Below are 17,730 nucleotides of genomic sequence, written 5' to 3'. Positions count from 1 at the left end.
TAACTGAGAGGTTAGGTAACCTGAACTAGAGAAAGGAAAAAAAAAAGAAAAAAGCACAAATACATAAAGCTATAAATGAGAACAGGAAAACGATTGCAGTTACAGTAGAAAAGAAAATAATATTAAAGGATTATCCTGTCCAATAAATTTGAAAACACTGAAGATTTCTTTCCAGGAAAATGTAAATACCAAACTGACCCCTGAAGACAAGAAAATCAGCCATATAGATACCCAAACAATTATCTGCTACCAAATAGATAACTAACAGGAACTGTTTGGGTATCTATATGGCTATCTAGAAGAACAACCCCTTCCCAGAAAAAGTACAAGATCTCATAATCTATAAATCTGAATTCTACCAAACTGCAAGGAACATATTTAATTCCAATGATACTTAAACTGTTCCAAAACATGGAGAAGAATGAACGTTCCGAATTTTTTTAGGAAGTCAGCATAACATTACAACCAAAATCTGGTAAACAAGGCATCAAAAGAGGAGGAAAATAAAACTAGACTACTCTCACAAATATTCACGTAAAAATCCTAAAAAAAAATTAACAAATAGAATCCAGCTTCATATCAAAATTAGGAAATCTTTTAAATTTAAATTTATTAATAAAATTCATCATATTAATAGTGTAAAGCACAAACTATCTCTGTATAGTGAAAAGGCATGTGGAAAATTCAAAATGTATATTTAATATATGTCAAAAAATATGAAGGCCAATAAACATGTATGTCTATAACACCAAGATTTAAGAAATGATATTATGCTATATTTGCCTTCAGATTTAAAAAACAAAGAACTGTAGATATCTTTCAGGATAGACCCCCTTACACTCTTCCTTCCCCACAGAAAACCACTATCCTGATGCTGGGGTAGAGCATTCCTGTTTTAAAATCTTGACCACCTATGTATATATCCATAAATGCTATATGCCTTAGTTTTGTGGGGTTTTAAATTTTACATGAAATACACACACACACACACACACACACACACACACCTGAAACTTGCTGTGTTTCTCTAAACACTGTCACTGAGATTTGTCTATGTTGGTATTTGTAGGAAGATTCAAGTTCATTTATTTTAACAGCTGTATAGCACTCTGTAATTAAACCATAAAAATTGTTTAATACAATCTCCCATTGACAGACATTTGTATTGTTCAAAATTTTTTGGGTTTACAAATTAAGCTACAATGAACTTACTTGAACATACATGCAAGAGTTTCTCTAGGATACACAAATGGAATCCTGAGCTGAACAGGATGCAAATGTTTAACCTGACATACATTGTGCCAACGGCTCTCCTTAGTAGTAATATCAACTCACACTCCTATCAACAATGATGAAAGTTCCTATTTCCCTACATCCTCTCCATACCTGATGTTGTTAGGCCTATTAATTTTGGTAAATGTCATGGAAATGAAATGGTCTTTCATTGCAGTTTAACTCTGCATTTCTCTTACTTCTAATGAAACTGAGATCTTTCCATATATTCATTGATCACTCTGTTCTCTTCTGAGAACTGGCTGTTACTTTTACCCCATTTTCTTCTTTCTCATTTACTTATTAAAATACAGATCTTGGCCAGGCACGGTGGCTCATGCCTGTAATCCCAGCACTTTGGGGGGCCAAGTTGGGTGGATCACTTGAGGCCAGGAGTTCAAGACCAGCCTGACCAACATGGCAAAACCCCATTGCTACTAAAAACACAAAATTAGCTAGGGGTGGTGGTGCATGCCTGTAATCCCAGCTACTCAGGAGGCTGAGGCACGAGAATCGCTTGAGCCTGGGAGGCGGAGACTGCAGTGAGCTGAGATCGCACCTGCACTCCAGCCTGGGCAACAGAGTAAGACTCTGTCACAAAAAAAATAAAATAAAATACAGATCTTTATTCATTCAGGATACTAATTTTTTACTGATTATATGCAAACATTTCCCCTTTTGTCTTTAATTTATGCCTTTTGTCATGTCAGAGTTTTAATTTTATTGTAATCCACTATGAAATACAGATACCCATCCACCTATAATTTTCTAATAGCTTAAAATCTGTATCTCCTTGTTGATTTTAGGCATAAATCGATGCACTAATTTGTGTGTGTGGGAAGGCATAGGGATCTGAATTTTATTTTTTAATATACTAACAGATGGCCTATTGTACCAGCACCATTTATTAAATAATCCATTCTTGCCCCACTGATTTTATAATTTGCCTAATACATAAATAACATTTATAAATCAGTAATAAAATAGCAACTTTCCAATAAAAATAAAGAGCAAAGAATATGAAATCTAGTTCACAGAAAAAAAATGCTTCTTGGCTGGGCGTGGTGGCTCACGCCTGTAATCCCTGCACTTTGGGAGGCGGAAGCGGGCGGATCACGAAGCCAGGAGATCGAGACCATCCTGGCTAACACAGTGAAAGCCCGTCTCTACTAAAAATACAAAAAATTAGCTGGGCGTGGTGGCAGGTGCCTATAGTCCCAGCTACTCGGGAAGCTGAGGCAGGAGAATGGTGTGCACCCAGGAGGCGAAGCTTGCAGTGAGCCAAGATCGTGCCACCGCACTCCAGCCTGGGCAACAGAGCAAGACTCTGTCGCAAAAAAAAAAAAAAAAAAGCTTCTTAACAAGTGAAAAAATGTCCAACCTCACTCATAATAGGTGAAAAATGCTATTTCATTGTAGTTATAATTTGCATTTCCCTTATCTATAACAAATATAAACTATTTTGAAATATAATGTTTGACAAAGGTGTGGGGAACAGGCATAAATTCATGGGTTACTGGGAATATATATTGGTACAACCTCCATAAAGAACAATTTGAAACAATCTATCAAAATTATAAATGTATATACCTCTGACCCACCTCTATTAGATTGAGTATCCCTAATTTGAAAATCCAAAATCCAAAATACTCCAAAATCTGAAACTTCTGAATGCCGACATAACACTCAAAGGAAATTGCTCATTGGAGCATTATGAATTTTGGATTTTTGGTTTAGGGATGTTCAACTGGGAAGTATATAATGCAAATATTCCAAAATTTAAAAAAAAAAAATCCAAAATCTGAAACACTTCCGGTCCCAAGCATTTCAGATCAAGAACACCCAAACTCTATTAGCACAACAATCATCACAGAAAATTACACGTCAACAATTTAATTATTTTCCTCCACAATGTTACTTTTTTTTTTTTTTTGAGATAATGTCTCTATCTGTTGCCCAGGATGGAGTGCAGTGGTAGGATCACCATCACAGCTTACTGCAGCCTTGACTTCCCACCTCAGCCTCCCAAGTAGCTGGGACTACAGGTGCGCACCGCCATGCCTGGCTAACTTTTGTATTATTTTGTAGAGACAAGGTCTCGCCATGTTGTCCAGGCTGGTCTCAAACTCCTGGGCTCAAGTGATCTGCCGGCCTCCCAAAGTGCTGGGATCAAAGGCGTAAGCAACCCCTCCTGGCCACAATGTTACTTTTTAAAATGTGTTCTGGCTGGGCATGGTGGCTCATGCCTGTGAGCCCAGCACTTTGGGAGGCCAATGCAGGAGAACTGCCTGAGCCCAGGAGGTCAGTCAGCCATGATGGCACCACTGCACTCCAGCCTGGGCCACAAAGCAAGACCAGCCATTAATTAAATAAATGTATTTTATTGTTCACATCCAACTTATACCAAAATTAAAGAGAACTTCCCCAAAACTAAAGATAAGGTAAAATTAAATAATATTAAATATTAACAGAAATTTAGGGAATATCATGATTTTAACAAATGCTTGCATTTTTCTCTGTACAAATTTGAATATTTGAACATTTTCTTCTCTATAAAGGGAATTTTCATTTAAATTAAATGTGTAAAACAGTGCAGTATACACATAATCATTTCAAGTGACCCAAAAAGTAATTCCATAATCTCCAAGTTATTCCCCTAGTCTACAGTCTTACTCCCCAGAAGCAGCCACTAATAAAGATGCCTTGTTCAAAATGGTTCTAGTTCATAAACGTCAGCATCAATCTGTGTACATGCATTTTAACCCTAACATAATCACAGTAGAGATCTTTGTATTTGGGCACTAATACATCTTTCTTTGTTAACAATTCACAGTATTTCATTCTATATGCTATGATTTAACTAACATGAATAAAGGTGTTTTTCAATAAAATTTATATACATTCCCTTTCAGGCAGCTGACATTGAGAATGTTTAAATAACTGGTTTTCCAACTAACTGATTCCTCATTTTCCTCTACAAGGCCAAAAAGGATACCAGCTTTCCTAAATTATTAACTTAATCATAAAGTAGCAAAACATCCTTTCTATACTTGTAAAGGTAATTTTTCATCTCTACGGCTAGGATATCCCTTCTGATGTCTTGATGAAACCAGCTGTTTAAATGATTTCCATTTCCGTTGTGGGTTTTTAAAAAACCCAATAACAAATAAATTTAAGTTCTGTGAATGAACTGTTTAAGAATCATATAATTATCACTATGGATGTATATCAGAGTAAAGAACTCAGGGGTTAAAGGCTGACCACAGAAGAAATGAAAATCGTGGAAAGAAAATGAACGTAGTACTAAGAGACTTCCATGATTTACACATAAAAAACTTCCCTCAATGGGTTAAATGAATATCCATCTCCAATATACTACGTGCTCATTTTAAGTTCCCACCCATAACTCAGAATATCTTTTGGAGTTATCCTAAGTTATATCTGTGTTTTTAAAACTGACATCTTAACCAAAAAAAAGTCCATTTTTAGTTTTTAAAATTAAAACTTCTGTTTTTAAAAAACTCACTGTTTTCCAACATACATGGGCAAAGTGCATGGTTACACAGAGAAGTAAATATGAGGAGGGGCTTTATACCCCGTCTTGAAATGAGGCGCCCAGCAGGTTCTTCCAAAACCTTAAGAAGCAAGTCATGGTTTCTTCTTGCTAACTGTGTAAAGGACAAGTGCTTCAGGGTTCATTCTCAATAGTGACCTGAAGAAGAGGCGAGGATGCAGGAAGAGGACAAAGGGCATCTCTTCACTTCGTCCTATATTCTCAGTGGGAGAATTAATTACATTATCACTATATATCCTTAAACTAAGCCATTCCCAGACTCCATGCCTTTAACTGGAGAAGTAACTTCTGTAGTCCAGCCAAATTCCTAGTGCCCTTCTGGAGAGGGAATTCATGGAAATTCATCTTAACGGCAGGGCCAGTGCAATGCTCCTGATTTTCATTCAAATGGGCCAACCTGTGTCCTTCACTACCACCACTAATTTAGGTAAACACTGCTAGTTTAAATAGCACAAAGGAGTATAATCAAAAATCACACAACAGAATCAAATAGCAAGTCTAAGCAATCACTAGGAGTCAGTAAAATTCAGACTGGAGTACGGTAGAAAGCAATGAAACAAACACCATCAGGACAAAAGGAGTCTTTAAGAATGAAGTAAAGTGTTGTCAGGGGAGGATGAGAGACAGGATTACAAAAAAAAAAAAAGTTGAGATATTTCAGATAAATCATGACCCTTCTATGCAAACCACTACACACAGCTTCTTTTTGGTCACAATAGTAAACCCGGTCAGACAACTGGCTAAAAGGACTCAACGCTTGGCTACTTGGCTGCAGCCCCATAATGTCTTTCCTCATTTGAATAGCATTTTAGGAATGTTTTGTCAATGTGTCTGATGATTATTCACTTCTACTGCATTCCTCCCTTCACCACGATAATTATGGTCACAGTAACAATTTATTTTATAGACAGAACACTCACAATGCTAAATGATGACTTTTTAAAAATCTGTTAAGATTCATGTATTTGTCCACATTTTCTAAAAAAGTTAATTTTAACAATTGTTGCTCATAGCAACACAGGACAAAAGATTTTTCACATGCATAATCTAGGCATTTAATCAAAATTCACAAACTTGATCTCAAACCAAGTCAAATGTAGAAATGTAGGAAAACATAGAATCAGATACACAATATATTTCTAGCTACCATAAAGACAGAAAAAAAAAGTGCAGCAACCTGTAACAGGGATAAGGAATGTACAAATGAAAAGATTCCTCTTTAACCATAGTTTAGTGACTGCCTGTACACTTCTAGGTAAGTTTCACAGCATAAGTAAATCCAACAAAAACATGCCACACTCCCTCTGAATTTCTATCACTTCCTATTTATGAAGGCTCTTTACCCTGAATCCAAATCTAAGTAGTTTAAAGCAAACTATAACGTGGCAATCGACTGAAAGAAACTATTTTTCCTCTAAGACTGAGGCTCGACTATAAGAGTAGAGGTAAAAAAAATATCCATAACCGGCCAGGCGCAGTGGCTCACTCCTGTAATCCCAGCACTTTGGGAGGCCAAGGTGGGTGGATCACGAAGTCAGCAGTTCAAGACCAGCCTGGCCAACATGGCGAAACCCCGTCTCTACTAAAATACAAAAATTAGCCGAGCATGGTGGCACGAGCCTATAGTCCCAGCTACTTGGGGGGCAGAGGCAGGAGAATCGCTTGAACCCGGGAAGCGGCAGTTGCAGTGAGCCAAGATCGCACCATTGCATTCCAGCCTGGCACTCCAGCCTGGGCGACAGAGCGAGACTCCACCTCAAAAAAAAAAAAAAAGATCCCCAATCAAGGTCTGCGGGCTGGGCATGGTGGCTCACGCCTGTAATCCCAGCACTCTGGGAGGCTGAGGCAGGAGGATCCCTTAAGCGCAAGAGTTCAAGACCAGCCTGGGCAACACAGGGAGATGAGACCTTGTCTCAGTGTTTTAAACAAAAAAAAAAAAAGCTTTGTAATTTACATGTTTGTGGTAAAATCAAGGCTTTCTTGGATTATAGTAGACACCCAACAGGGTTTAAATTAATGAAAAAGCACTATAGAAAAGAACGTGGCCGGGCACAGTGGCTCATGCCTGTAATCCCAGCACTTTGGGAGGCTGAGGCGGGCAGATCACCTGAGGTCAGGAGTTCGAGACCAGCCTGACCAATATGGTGAAACCCCATCTTTACTAAAAATACAAAAATTAGCTGGGCATGGTGGCGGGCACCTGTAATCTCAGCTACCCAGGAGGCTGAGGCAGGAGAATCGCTTAAACCCAGGAGGCAGAGGTTGCAGTGAGCCAAGATCACGCCATTGCACTCCAGCCTGGGGGACAGAGCAAGACTCCATCAAAAAAAAAAAAAAAAAAAAAAAAAGAAGAAGAATGTGGAAGAGCTGGAACTCCACTTTATCACTTTGAAAATTCTCTATCCTTCATGATCAGTTCAACTTGTCTCGAAAAGGGAGGGGATATGCAGAAGTGTAGGTGGTGTAAGTGGCACATTTGAAAAGGAGATGGTTCCACAGAAGCCTAGATTGGGAGAAGCTGTGGGACAACACTGAACCGTTTTTAGAACCAGAGACAGGACAGGAATGAAGAGGATTTATAGCATATAGATCTCAGCCTCTAAAAGAACTGAAAACACTGGAACAAGGCAGAAATGACAGAATCAAATTAGGATTTATTTGAGCAACTAATATCCACAAGACATTGTACTGGGTATCTTGCAAGGCAGGATAAATAAATAATATTGTGCATGATTTAACTAAACAGAGCCTATAACCTAATTTGAGAAAATAATAAATTCTGAAAAAGTAATAGTTTAATTCAAGGAGTCAAAATACAGTACACATGTAGTTTTAATACAGATGCTAAAAACAGGTAGCATAAGAATTAAGCACTGGAAGATTATGTGTGGCTAAGTTGTTAAGGCAAACTTTAAGTGATGAAACTTCAGCTAAATCCTGAAGGAGGCTCTATCTTCCAAAGCCAGGGAGGCGGCCAAAGGCCTTTCCTAGCAGGAATCGAAGGCAGTATCTTGTTAGATGTACAGCTTGGAAGTCAGACAGACACGCTTGAGTTCTGCCACCACTTAACAGCTTTGTGCCCTTAGACAAGTCACTTAAACCTCTTCAGTCTCAGTTTCCTAAAATGGAAATAATAATGGTACCTATCAAAGTTTCTTTTATTCAATAGTTACTAAGAGCTTGCACAAAGCTGAGCATTGGAATACAGTAGTGAACAAGACAGACACAATACCTGCCCTCATGAAGCTTGAGATAAATATGTGAAGGGCTCTTCACATAACTTATGGTACTTGTCATCATCATCATCTTTAGCACAGTGGTGAAAAGTATAAGATATGTTCCAGTGAATGGTGCAAAAACAGACACACACACCAATGGAACATGTTAGAAAAACCAGAAATAAAGTCACACACTTACCACCATCTGGTCTTTGACAAAGTTGACAAAAATGAGCAATGGGGAGAGTACTTCCTATTCAATAAAAGGTGCTGGGATAACTGGCCAGTCATATGCAGAAGACTGAAACTGGACCCCTTCCTACACCATATACAAAAGTCAACTAGAGCTGGATTAAAGACTTAAGTGTAAAACCTAAAACTATAAAAACCCTAGAAGAAAACCTAGGAAATACCATTCTGGACGTAGGCCCTGGCAAAGATTTCATGACAAAGAGGCCAAAAGCAACTGCAACAAAAAAGAAAACCAACAAATGGGACCTAATTAAACTAAAGAGCTTCTGCACAGCAAAAGAAACTATCAACAGAGTAACCTACAGAATTGGAGAAAATATATGCAAACTATGCATCTGACAAAGGTCTGAAATCCAGAATCTATAAGGAACATAAACAAACCAACAAGCAAAAAACAAACAACCCCATAAAAAATGAGCAACGGACACGAACAGACATTTCTCAAAAGAAGGCATATGAAAAAATTCTCAACATCACTGATCATTAGAGAAATGCAAATCAAAACCACAATGAGATACCATCTCACACCAGTCAAAATGGCTATTAGATAAAAGTCAAAAGATGCTGTCCAGGTTACAGAGGAAAGGGAATGCTTAAACACTGCTGGTAGGAATGTAAACTAGTTCAGCCACTGTGGAAAGCAGTTTGGAGATTTCTCAAAGAACTTAAAACAGAACTGCCATCCAACCGAGCAATCCCTTTACTGGGTATATACCCACAGGAATACAAATCATTCTGCCACAAAGACACATGCACATTTATGTTCACTGCAGCACTAATCACAATAGCAAAGACATAGAATCAACCTAAAGGCCCATCAAGGGTAGACTGGATAAAGAAAATGTGGTACATATACACCATGGAACACTATGCACCACAAAAAAGAATGAAATCATGATCTCTGCAACAACATGGATGGAACTGTAGGCCATTATCCTAAGCAAATTAACACAGGAATAGAAAACCAAATACCGCATGTTCTCACTTATAAGTGGGAACTAAACACTGAGTACACATGGAAGCTAAAAGGGAACAACAGACATCACAGCCTATTTGAGAGTGGAAGGTGGGAGGAGGGTGAAGATCAAAAAACTACCTATGGGGATTAGCTGGGTGTGGTGGTGCACGCCTCTATTCCCAGCTACTTAGGAGGCTGAGGCATGACAATCGCTTGAACCCGGGAGGCAGAGGTTGCAGTGAGCACAGATCTTGCCACTGCACTCTAGCCTAGGCGATAGAATGAGACTGGCTCAAAAATAAATAAACAAAAACAAACAAACAAACAACCTACGGGGTACTATGTTTATTACCTGGGTGATGAAATAATTTGTACACCAAACCCCCGCAACACACTATCTACCCACATTAACAAATCCACGTGTGTACTCTGTGAACCTGAAATAAACGTTGGAAGAAAAAAAAAAAGGTATGTTCCAGTGAAAACAAATAAACCATCTTAGCTGAAACAAGGTTTCACAAAAAATATTGCCATGTCTCAAGGCTCAATCTTGGAACCTCTCCTTTTCCTCTCTTCCAGTAATCTCATCCCATCCCACAACTTCAAATACTACCTATGTATAAACCAAATTTAGTATCTCTAGCTCTGAGCTGTCTCCTGAACAAAAGATTCTATATCTGGGTGTCTACTAGATTTCTCTATTTGTATGTCTTCATAGGGGTCTCACACCTTGTATTTCTTGCATTGCTATAAGCACCTGAAATGGGGTAATTTATAAGGAAAAGAGGTTTAATTGGACCTATGACTTCTGCAGGCTACACAGAAAGCATGGCCCCAGTCACCTGCTCAGCTCCTGGGAAGAGCTTCAGGAAGCTTACAATTAAGGTAGAAGGCAAAAGAGGAGCAGGCACATCATATGGCCAGAGCAGGAACAAGAGAGAGGATGGCGGGGGGAGGAGGTGGTGCCGTACACTTAAACAACCAGATACTGCAAGAACTCACCCACTACCCGACCTCCTACCAGGCCCTACCTCCAACTAGGAATTACAAATTACAATAGTGGGGACACATATTCAAACTCTATCACACCTATACATCGGAAACAGAACTTTGGATTAGCAATCCAAATGGATACCAACCAACCACATTCTCCCTCGGTCTTTCCCTAATGGTAACTCTTTTATTCTCTCTTTTCCTCAAGCCTCATGTACCCACATCATGAGCAAGTTCTTTCATTTTTACCAAAAAAACATAGGTTTTTTAGGTAAAAGCAAATCCACTCACTGCTTCCCACTGCCAAAGCCATCATTCTAGTGCAAGCTCTGATTGTTTCTCATCCAGATTATCTCACTAAAAAAAAAAAAAAAATCTGTAATTCCTTCTCCATAGAGTAGTGATCTCTTTTTTAAAATAAGATCTTTAAAAAGAAAAAAAGAAAGGCCAGGCACAGTGGCTCACACCTGTAAATTTCAGCACTTTGGGAGGCTGCAGAGGGAGGACTGCTTGAAGCCAGGAGTTTGAGACCAGCCTGGCAACATACTGAGGCTCTGTCTCTACCAACAAACAAAAATGAGTAAGATCATCTTGCATGCACGTGCATGTGCGCGCGCACGCGCGCGCACACACACACACACACACACACACACACACACACAGGCCCCACCTTACCTCAGTTCAATTGAAAACTCTCCAATAGCTCCCAAACAACCTTAAAATCTTGATGGTCTACAAGGCATACATGATAGGACCCCTTTCTATAGGTTGGTGCAAAAGTAATTGTGGTTTTTGCATTGAAAGCAATTACTTTTGCACCAACCTAATACTTCTCTGCCTCATTTCATAAGACCCTCCTCCCTCTGTTTCTACATCAATCTGTGCTGATGGAAACGTTCTGTATTTGCAGTGGTGCAATCTCAGCTCACTGCAACCTCCGCCTTCCAGGTTCAAGTGATTCTGCTGCCTCAACCTCTCAAGTAGCTGAGATTACAAGTATGCACCCCACGCCTGGCTAATTTTTGTATTTTTAGTAGAGATGGGGTTTTGCCATGTTGGCTAGGCTGGTCTCGAACTCCTGACCTCAGGTGATCCACCTGCCTCGGCCTCCCAAAGTGCTGGGATTACACGCATGAGCCACCGTGCCCGGCGGAACTAAATTTCTAACTTAATTTTAACTAGTTTAAATTTAAATAGCCACATACTCCTAGAAGGTATCATAGTGGAAAGCACAGGGCTAGTACTTCTGTTTAGTCTTTTCTTCTGCCTAGACCACTCTTCCCCCCAGATCTTCACATGAATGGCTCCTTCTTATCCTCATAGCTCAGCTAAATGCCAGCTCCTCAGAAAGGCCTTTCCTGATCACCTAACCCAAAGCAGCTCCCACCGACACTATTATCACTTCATCTTGTTTATTTTAATCAAAGCAAATTCACTACTATCTTTAGAATCTGTTTGCCTTCCCCAAAGTAGAATATAAAATCCATGAAAACAGAGATCTCACCTATTTCATTCAACACCGTGTCCCCGAAATGTATGTGCTAGGCATATAGTGTTTCCAATAAATGTGTGACGAATAGTTTGATTGAATGAATGAATGAGTGACTGAGTGAATGACTAGGTGGTGAAGTCAGTAAAGTAAGCTGGGGACAAATTATGGAGGTTACTGGAAGAAGGAAAAGGTCCTTCAAATGCATACATTTCATTTCTATGGGTACAGGCCTCCGCCGTGTTAAGTGTCCCTGTGGGGACAGGCAATCTAAGCACAGAGCATGAAGGGGCACACACAAAGCAGGTCTCTATTCTCAAATAACTTAGAATCAATTTTATGAAAACATTAGTGATGCAGACACACACAAGCTCCTTACACATGAGACACTAGGAAATCTCTCAAGAATGCATCTACATACGTTCTACAGGCATACCTTCAGGGGTAAATGAAGGACTGAAAGTAGAGTTAGACAATCAAGTTAGTTTTGTAGTCTTTCAATCTACAATAGCAAACCAGGGCACTGATGTTATGTTAAACATTCTGCCAAGTTAAATACTGGTTTCTAGTCATGCTGTCCTATGAGAAATATCATTAGCTATGTCATTTAGCAGAAAAGGGGAAGGGAGACAAAGAAGGAAAAAAGTAAATGATCTGGCTGGGCGTGGTGGCTCACGCCTGTAATCCCAGCACTTTGGGAGGCCACGATGGGAGAAATGCTTGAGGCCAGGAGTTGGAGACCAGCCTGGGCAACATGGCGAAACCCTGACTCTACAAAAAGTACAAAAAAACTTAGCCAGGTGTTGTGCCGCACCCCTGTAGTCCCAGCTACTCCAGAGGCTGAGGTGGGAGGATCACCTGAGCCCAGGGAGATTGAGGCTGCAACGAGCCATGATCACGCCACTGCACTCCAGCCTGGGCAACAGAGTGAGACCCGGTATCAAAAAAAAAAAAACAAAACAGAAAGTAAATGATCTGTTTTTATCAAACTCAAACACTGATAAGCAGCAGATAAGAAAAGAACATATGGTATGGACAGAATTACCAACCAGCCCAAAATTACACCTAGACCAGTAAGTCAACAAAGCTGATAACCCAGTGATACTATGTACAAAGCAGATTCCACACATTCATTCACTGTCACAGTTTCAAAGAAAAAAAAAGACTGGAATTCTAATGTATCTCTATTAAAAACCATAATGCTAAGGAAAACTGCAGAGTAGATTCAAGTTTCACACTAAATGAAACTACATGCTCCTCAAATCTTGTGCAAAGTTGTCTACCACATTTTAAACTTAACTGAATATCACTGCCACTTCATACCAATTATGCAATTATAAAATGCACAACTGTCAATAAAGTATGCAACGTATTCTACAGTCCATTAGTAAGTCAGAATTTTATTTTATTTTTTGAGATGGAGTCTGGCTCTGTCGCCCAGGCTGGAGTGCAGTAGTGCAATCTCCGCTCACTGCAAGCTCCGCCTCCTGGATTCACGCCATTCTCCTGCCTCAGCCTCCCGAAGAGCTGGGACTACCAGCGCCTGCCACGACGCCCGGCTAATTATTTTATATTTTTAGTAGAGATGGGGTTTCACCATGTTAGCCAGGATGGTCTCAATCTCCTGACCTCGTGATCCGCCCGCCTCAGCCTCCCAAAGTGCTAGGATTACAGGCGTGAGCCACCGAGCCCAGCCCTGTAAATCAGGATTTTAATCAGGGGTTTGTAGCACCAATCTCTATAATTCAACGTTTACCTCTGTTGTTCACATTCAGAACTGGTGACCAACACAACCCAGGCCACACCAGAAAACAACACTGCACATGCAGCAGGAGCAAAGTTCACACCAAAGGAAAGCCTCTTTGCCTTCCAAATGTTGACATACTCATTTTCACAAAAATACCAGGGACACTTACTTAGTTAAAAGTGATTATTGTCATAACACAATGTCTATGCTTCTTTAAAATTAAATTTCCTACCTCCACTCCTAGTGAAACCAAAGTACATTAAATGTACACCTTTATTCAAATGCTCTATTGGAACTATTGTAATTCCTCATGAGCTACAGGAGTGAAAAAACAGCTCCCAATACATAACTCTGTTAGTGCATGACTACCTCACTTCTGAGCTGGCTCCATTTTGGAACCATGATTTGTTTACTGACATCAGGGCAAAAAGTATAGGAAAAATTACTGACAAAGCAAAAAAAAAAAAAAAAAAATAGCTCTACAGAGCAGTCTTTGGGACATGCTTCAAAGTGACAGGCATCACAAGGATAATATATGGAATAATTTTTTGCTTGATCATCACCTAGTAATTTTATAAATATTATCAATATGCCACAAGAAAGTCAGTATTTCTAACTACCAAAGCATAATACTATATACTTCCAACAGTCAAGTATAAACAAACAACTATGGTACTTCCAAAAATTCATTTTGCCTGTTTTTCTCATGTCCTATGTACAACTCTTCTTAAGAATTATATAGCAGCGCCTGGTATCTGGTAACTTTATTGAGTGACTGGGGTTGAGCTGTCTCTACACCACAAAAGCAATCTCTACTTTAGGCCCTGCCATGGCAAAGCCAGGTGCCCAGAGATGTCTCTTGATTTTCCATCAAAATAATCATGAGGTATACAGAATCCACAGGCTGCTACATTTGAACAGGGACCCATGAAATCATTCTTACCTTAAGAGTAACAGACCTATTTCCACTACCATTAGGTCCAGCTAATTCAAAGAACCAGTTTGGGAAACTAAGTAACATGCTGCATTTCCTTGTTTTAAAAACAAAAAAAAAAGTAACATGAGATACAAGACAGCTCCTCAAATTCAGCACCCATGTCTGACTCACCTTTGTCCCACACAGTACCTAGAGTCCAAATCCCTTGTGGAATAAATCAGGGGTTCCCAACCCCTAGCCACAGACTGGTACCGGTCAATGGCCTGTTAGGAACTGGGCCGCACAGAAGGAGGTGTGTGGTGCGAGCAAGCATGACCGCCTGAGCTCCGCCTCCTGTCAGATCAGTGGTGGCATTAGATTCTCATAGGAGAGCGAACCCTATAATGAACTGCACATGTGAGGGATCCAGGCTGTGCGCTCCTATGAGAATCTAACTAATCCCTGATGATCTGAGATCCAACAGTTTCAGCCTGAAACCATCCCTCGCAACTCCTCCAATCCCATTCTGTGGAAAAATTGTCTTCCACAAAACCAGTCCCTGGTACCTGAAAGGTTGGGGACTGCTGGCATAAAAGAATGTGCAATGATCACTAATAAATGTGCCATTTTATCATAAAAGGTTAATATTTATAGAAACATTTAAAAATATTGCTATAAAATTTTTAAAGACAATGGCAAACTCTTTCTGTAAAGGGCCAAAGTAAACATTCCAGGCTTTGTGAACCACATTTAGTCTCTGTCACATATTCTTCTTTATTTTTGTTTGTTTGTTTACAGCTTTTCATGATTTAAAACCCATTCTTAGCTGGAGGGCTAAAATGAGGCCTACAAAGCAGAATTTTCATATAAACAACAAACATGGTTATGCTTCCACCAAAGAAAATCACTTCGTTTTGTGTGACTTTTAAGAGGTCTTTTAAAATTTTATTTTTTAGAACAGTCTTAGATTTATAGAAAAAAAACCACAAAATTAGTGTGGAAAGTTGCCATATATAGTCCACACTTACTTTTCCCTGTTGGTATGGTACATCTATTAACATTAATAAAATTAACTACAATCGGGCCGGGTGTGGTGTCTCACACCTGTAATCCCAGCACTTTGGGAGGCCGAGGCAGGCAGATCACTAGGTCAGGAGTTCAAGACTAGCCTGGCCAACATGGTGAAACCCTATCTCTACTAAAAATACAAAAATTAGCTGGGTGTGGTGGCACATGCCTGTAATCCCAGCTACTGGGGAGGCTGAGGCAGGAGAATTGCTTGAACCCGGGAGGCTGAGGCTGCAGTGAGCCGAGATCACAACACTGCACTCCAGCCTGGGTGAAAGAGTGAGGCTGTGTCTCAAAAAAAAAAAAAATTTTAACTACAATCCATACCTTATTCAGATTTCCTTAGTTTTCACCTAATGTCCTTTTTCCAGCCCAGGACTCCTCCACCCCTGGGACACATTACATTTAGTCTTGGTGTCTCCTTACGCTCCTCATGGCTGTGAGGGTTTCTCAGACTTTCCTTATTGGTGAGGATCTTGACGGTTTTGAGGGGTACTGGTCAGGTATTTTATAGGATACCCCTCTACTGGGATCCAGTAGGTGTTTTTCTCAAGATTAGACTGGAGTTACTACGGTTTTGGGGGAGAAAGACCACAAAGATAAAATGCCATTGTCACCACATCACATCAAGGGTGTATCAGCAGGACTTAGTGCCCTGGATGTTCCCTTTGATCACCTGATGGAGGCAGCGCTTGTCAGGTTTGCTCCTGCCATTTTTTAAAAAAACAATGAACAAAAATAAATTTAATTCTTCACATATATAACGAGCTAAAAGGAAAAGCCTTTACATGTCAAATCATTTTGAATAAGCTGATGTATATACATTGCACATATGATTCATTACGTGACTCACACAAATGCCTCATAAAATACATCACATTTGAAATAAAGAAAAAAATTAATATATACTTTGCCAATATATTCTGCTTTTAATTCCTTTCAACTGTCTTCCCTCTGAGTGTTTAGGAAGAAGGTACCCTTAAACTGAAATATAGGAATATAGAGAAAATTTAACAGATAATACTCAAAATTTTCTTTCACTTTTTAAATGATGATTATGCACACTAGATTGTAGGCAAGCTGAGCTGGGACCAAATCTTATCCATCTTTATCTCCCAGAGTCCAGGGTACCTGGCTGGTTGATACAATAAAAACTGTTAATTAATGCATATCTACAATGTCAGTATTAAATAATCACTCAAAGCAATCAGATAGGGAGAAAAGGGAAGAGCAATGTGAGACTAAAAAAACCCTCTAACTTCTCTTACCTAACTTTTTATTGATCAAGTAAGAGTGAGAGTACACAAACAAAAAGGGGGCAGAATAGCAACAGCTATAAAAGGCTAGAATAAGGGGAGGCTTGGGCCCAACTAAGGCCATCAAAACACTACGAAGAGGGAAATACAAATCAACACCACAGTAAGATCCTACCTCACACCCACTAAAATAACTTTTTAAAAAAAAGAAAGAAGTGAGGCCAGTTGTGGTGGCTCACATCTGTAATCCTAGCACTTTGGAAGGCCAAGGTAGGCAGATCACTTGAGGTCAAAAGTTCGAGACCGGCCCAACCCCGTCTCTACTAAAAATACAAAAATTGCCCAGGCATGGTGGCTTGTGCCTATAATCCCAGCTACTCAGGAGGCTGAGGTGGGAGGATCTGTTGAACCCTGGAGGTGGAGGTGGAAGCCGCAGTGAGCCGAGATCACCACTGCACTCCAGCCTGGGCAAGAGAGACCGGCTCCGTCTCAAAAGAAGAAAGAAAAGAAAAAAAGAAAAGAGAGAAGAGAAGAGAAGGAAAGAGAAGAGAGAGACAGAAAGAGGAGAGAAGGAGAGAAAGAGAGAGAAGTGTTGGTGAGGATGTGGAGGAATTTGCACACTCATACCCTGCTGGTGGGAATGTAAAATGGTGGTAAACAGTCTAGCAGTCCCCTCAAAAAGTTAAACATAGAACTGCCATATGACCCAGCAACTCCACTTTTAGACATGTATATACTGAAGAGAACTGAAGACACACATTCATACAAAAATTGTACAGGGATATTCATAGCAGCATCATTCATAACAGCCAAAGAGTGGAAATGACCCAAATGCACATCAGCTAATGAAAGTACAAAATATGGTATATCTACACAATCGAATATTATTAAGTCATGAAAATGATGCAGTAGTACAATAAATGCTACAAAATGAACCCTGAATGCATTACACTAAGAAAAAAAGAAGCCAGATACAAAGGGATACAA

At 39.7% G+C, this 17,730-nt stretch overlaps 1 protein-coding gene across 5 annotated transcripts in view, besides 2 other annotated features; it reads right to left on the bottom strand.

The window, feature by feature from the left end:
* WWC2 (WW and C2 domain containing 2) overlaps positions 1-17,730 on the bottom strand; it is a 221,521-nt gene that overhangs the window by 196,368 nt on the left and 7,423 nt on the right. The window lies entirely within an intron of this gene.
* Positions 1,160-1,660: an enhancer, noted in NCBI's record as "H3K27ac hESC enhancer chr4:184043903-184044403 (GRCh37/hg19 assembly coordinates)". NCBI's record gives its function as "activates a minimal SCP1, AML or CMV promoter by ChIP-STARR-seq in naive H9 embryonic stem cells {active_cell/tissue: H9 hESC(naive)}" and the evidence as "EXISTENCE:reporter gene assay evidence [ECO:0000049][PMID:30033119]".
* Positions 1,661-2,161: an enhancer, noted in NCBI's record as "H3K27ac hESC enhancer chr4:184043402-184043902 (GRCh37/hg19 assembly coordinates)". NCBI's record gives its function as "activates a minimal SCP1, AML or CMV promoter by ChIP-STARR-seq in naive H9 embryonic stem cells {active_cell/tissue: H9 hESC(naive)}" and the evidence as "EXISTENCE:reporter gene assay evidence [ECO:0000049][PMID:30033119]".

Source organism: Homo sapiens, chromosome 4 (genome assembly GCF_000001405.40).
Source record: "Homo sapiens chromosome 4, GRCh38.p14 Primary Assembly".
Lineage (NCBI taxonomy): Eukaryota > Metazoa > Chordata > Mammalia > Primates > Hominidae > Homo > Homo sapiens.
This window is presented reverse-complemented; position numbering and strand designations above follow the sequence as displayed.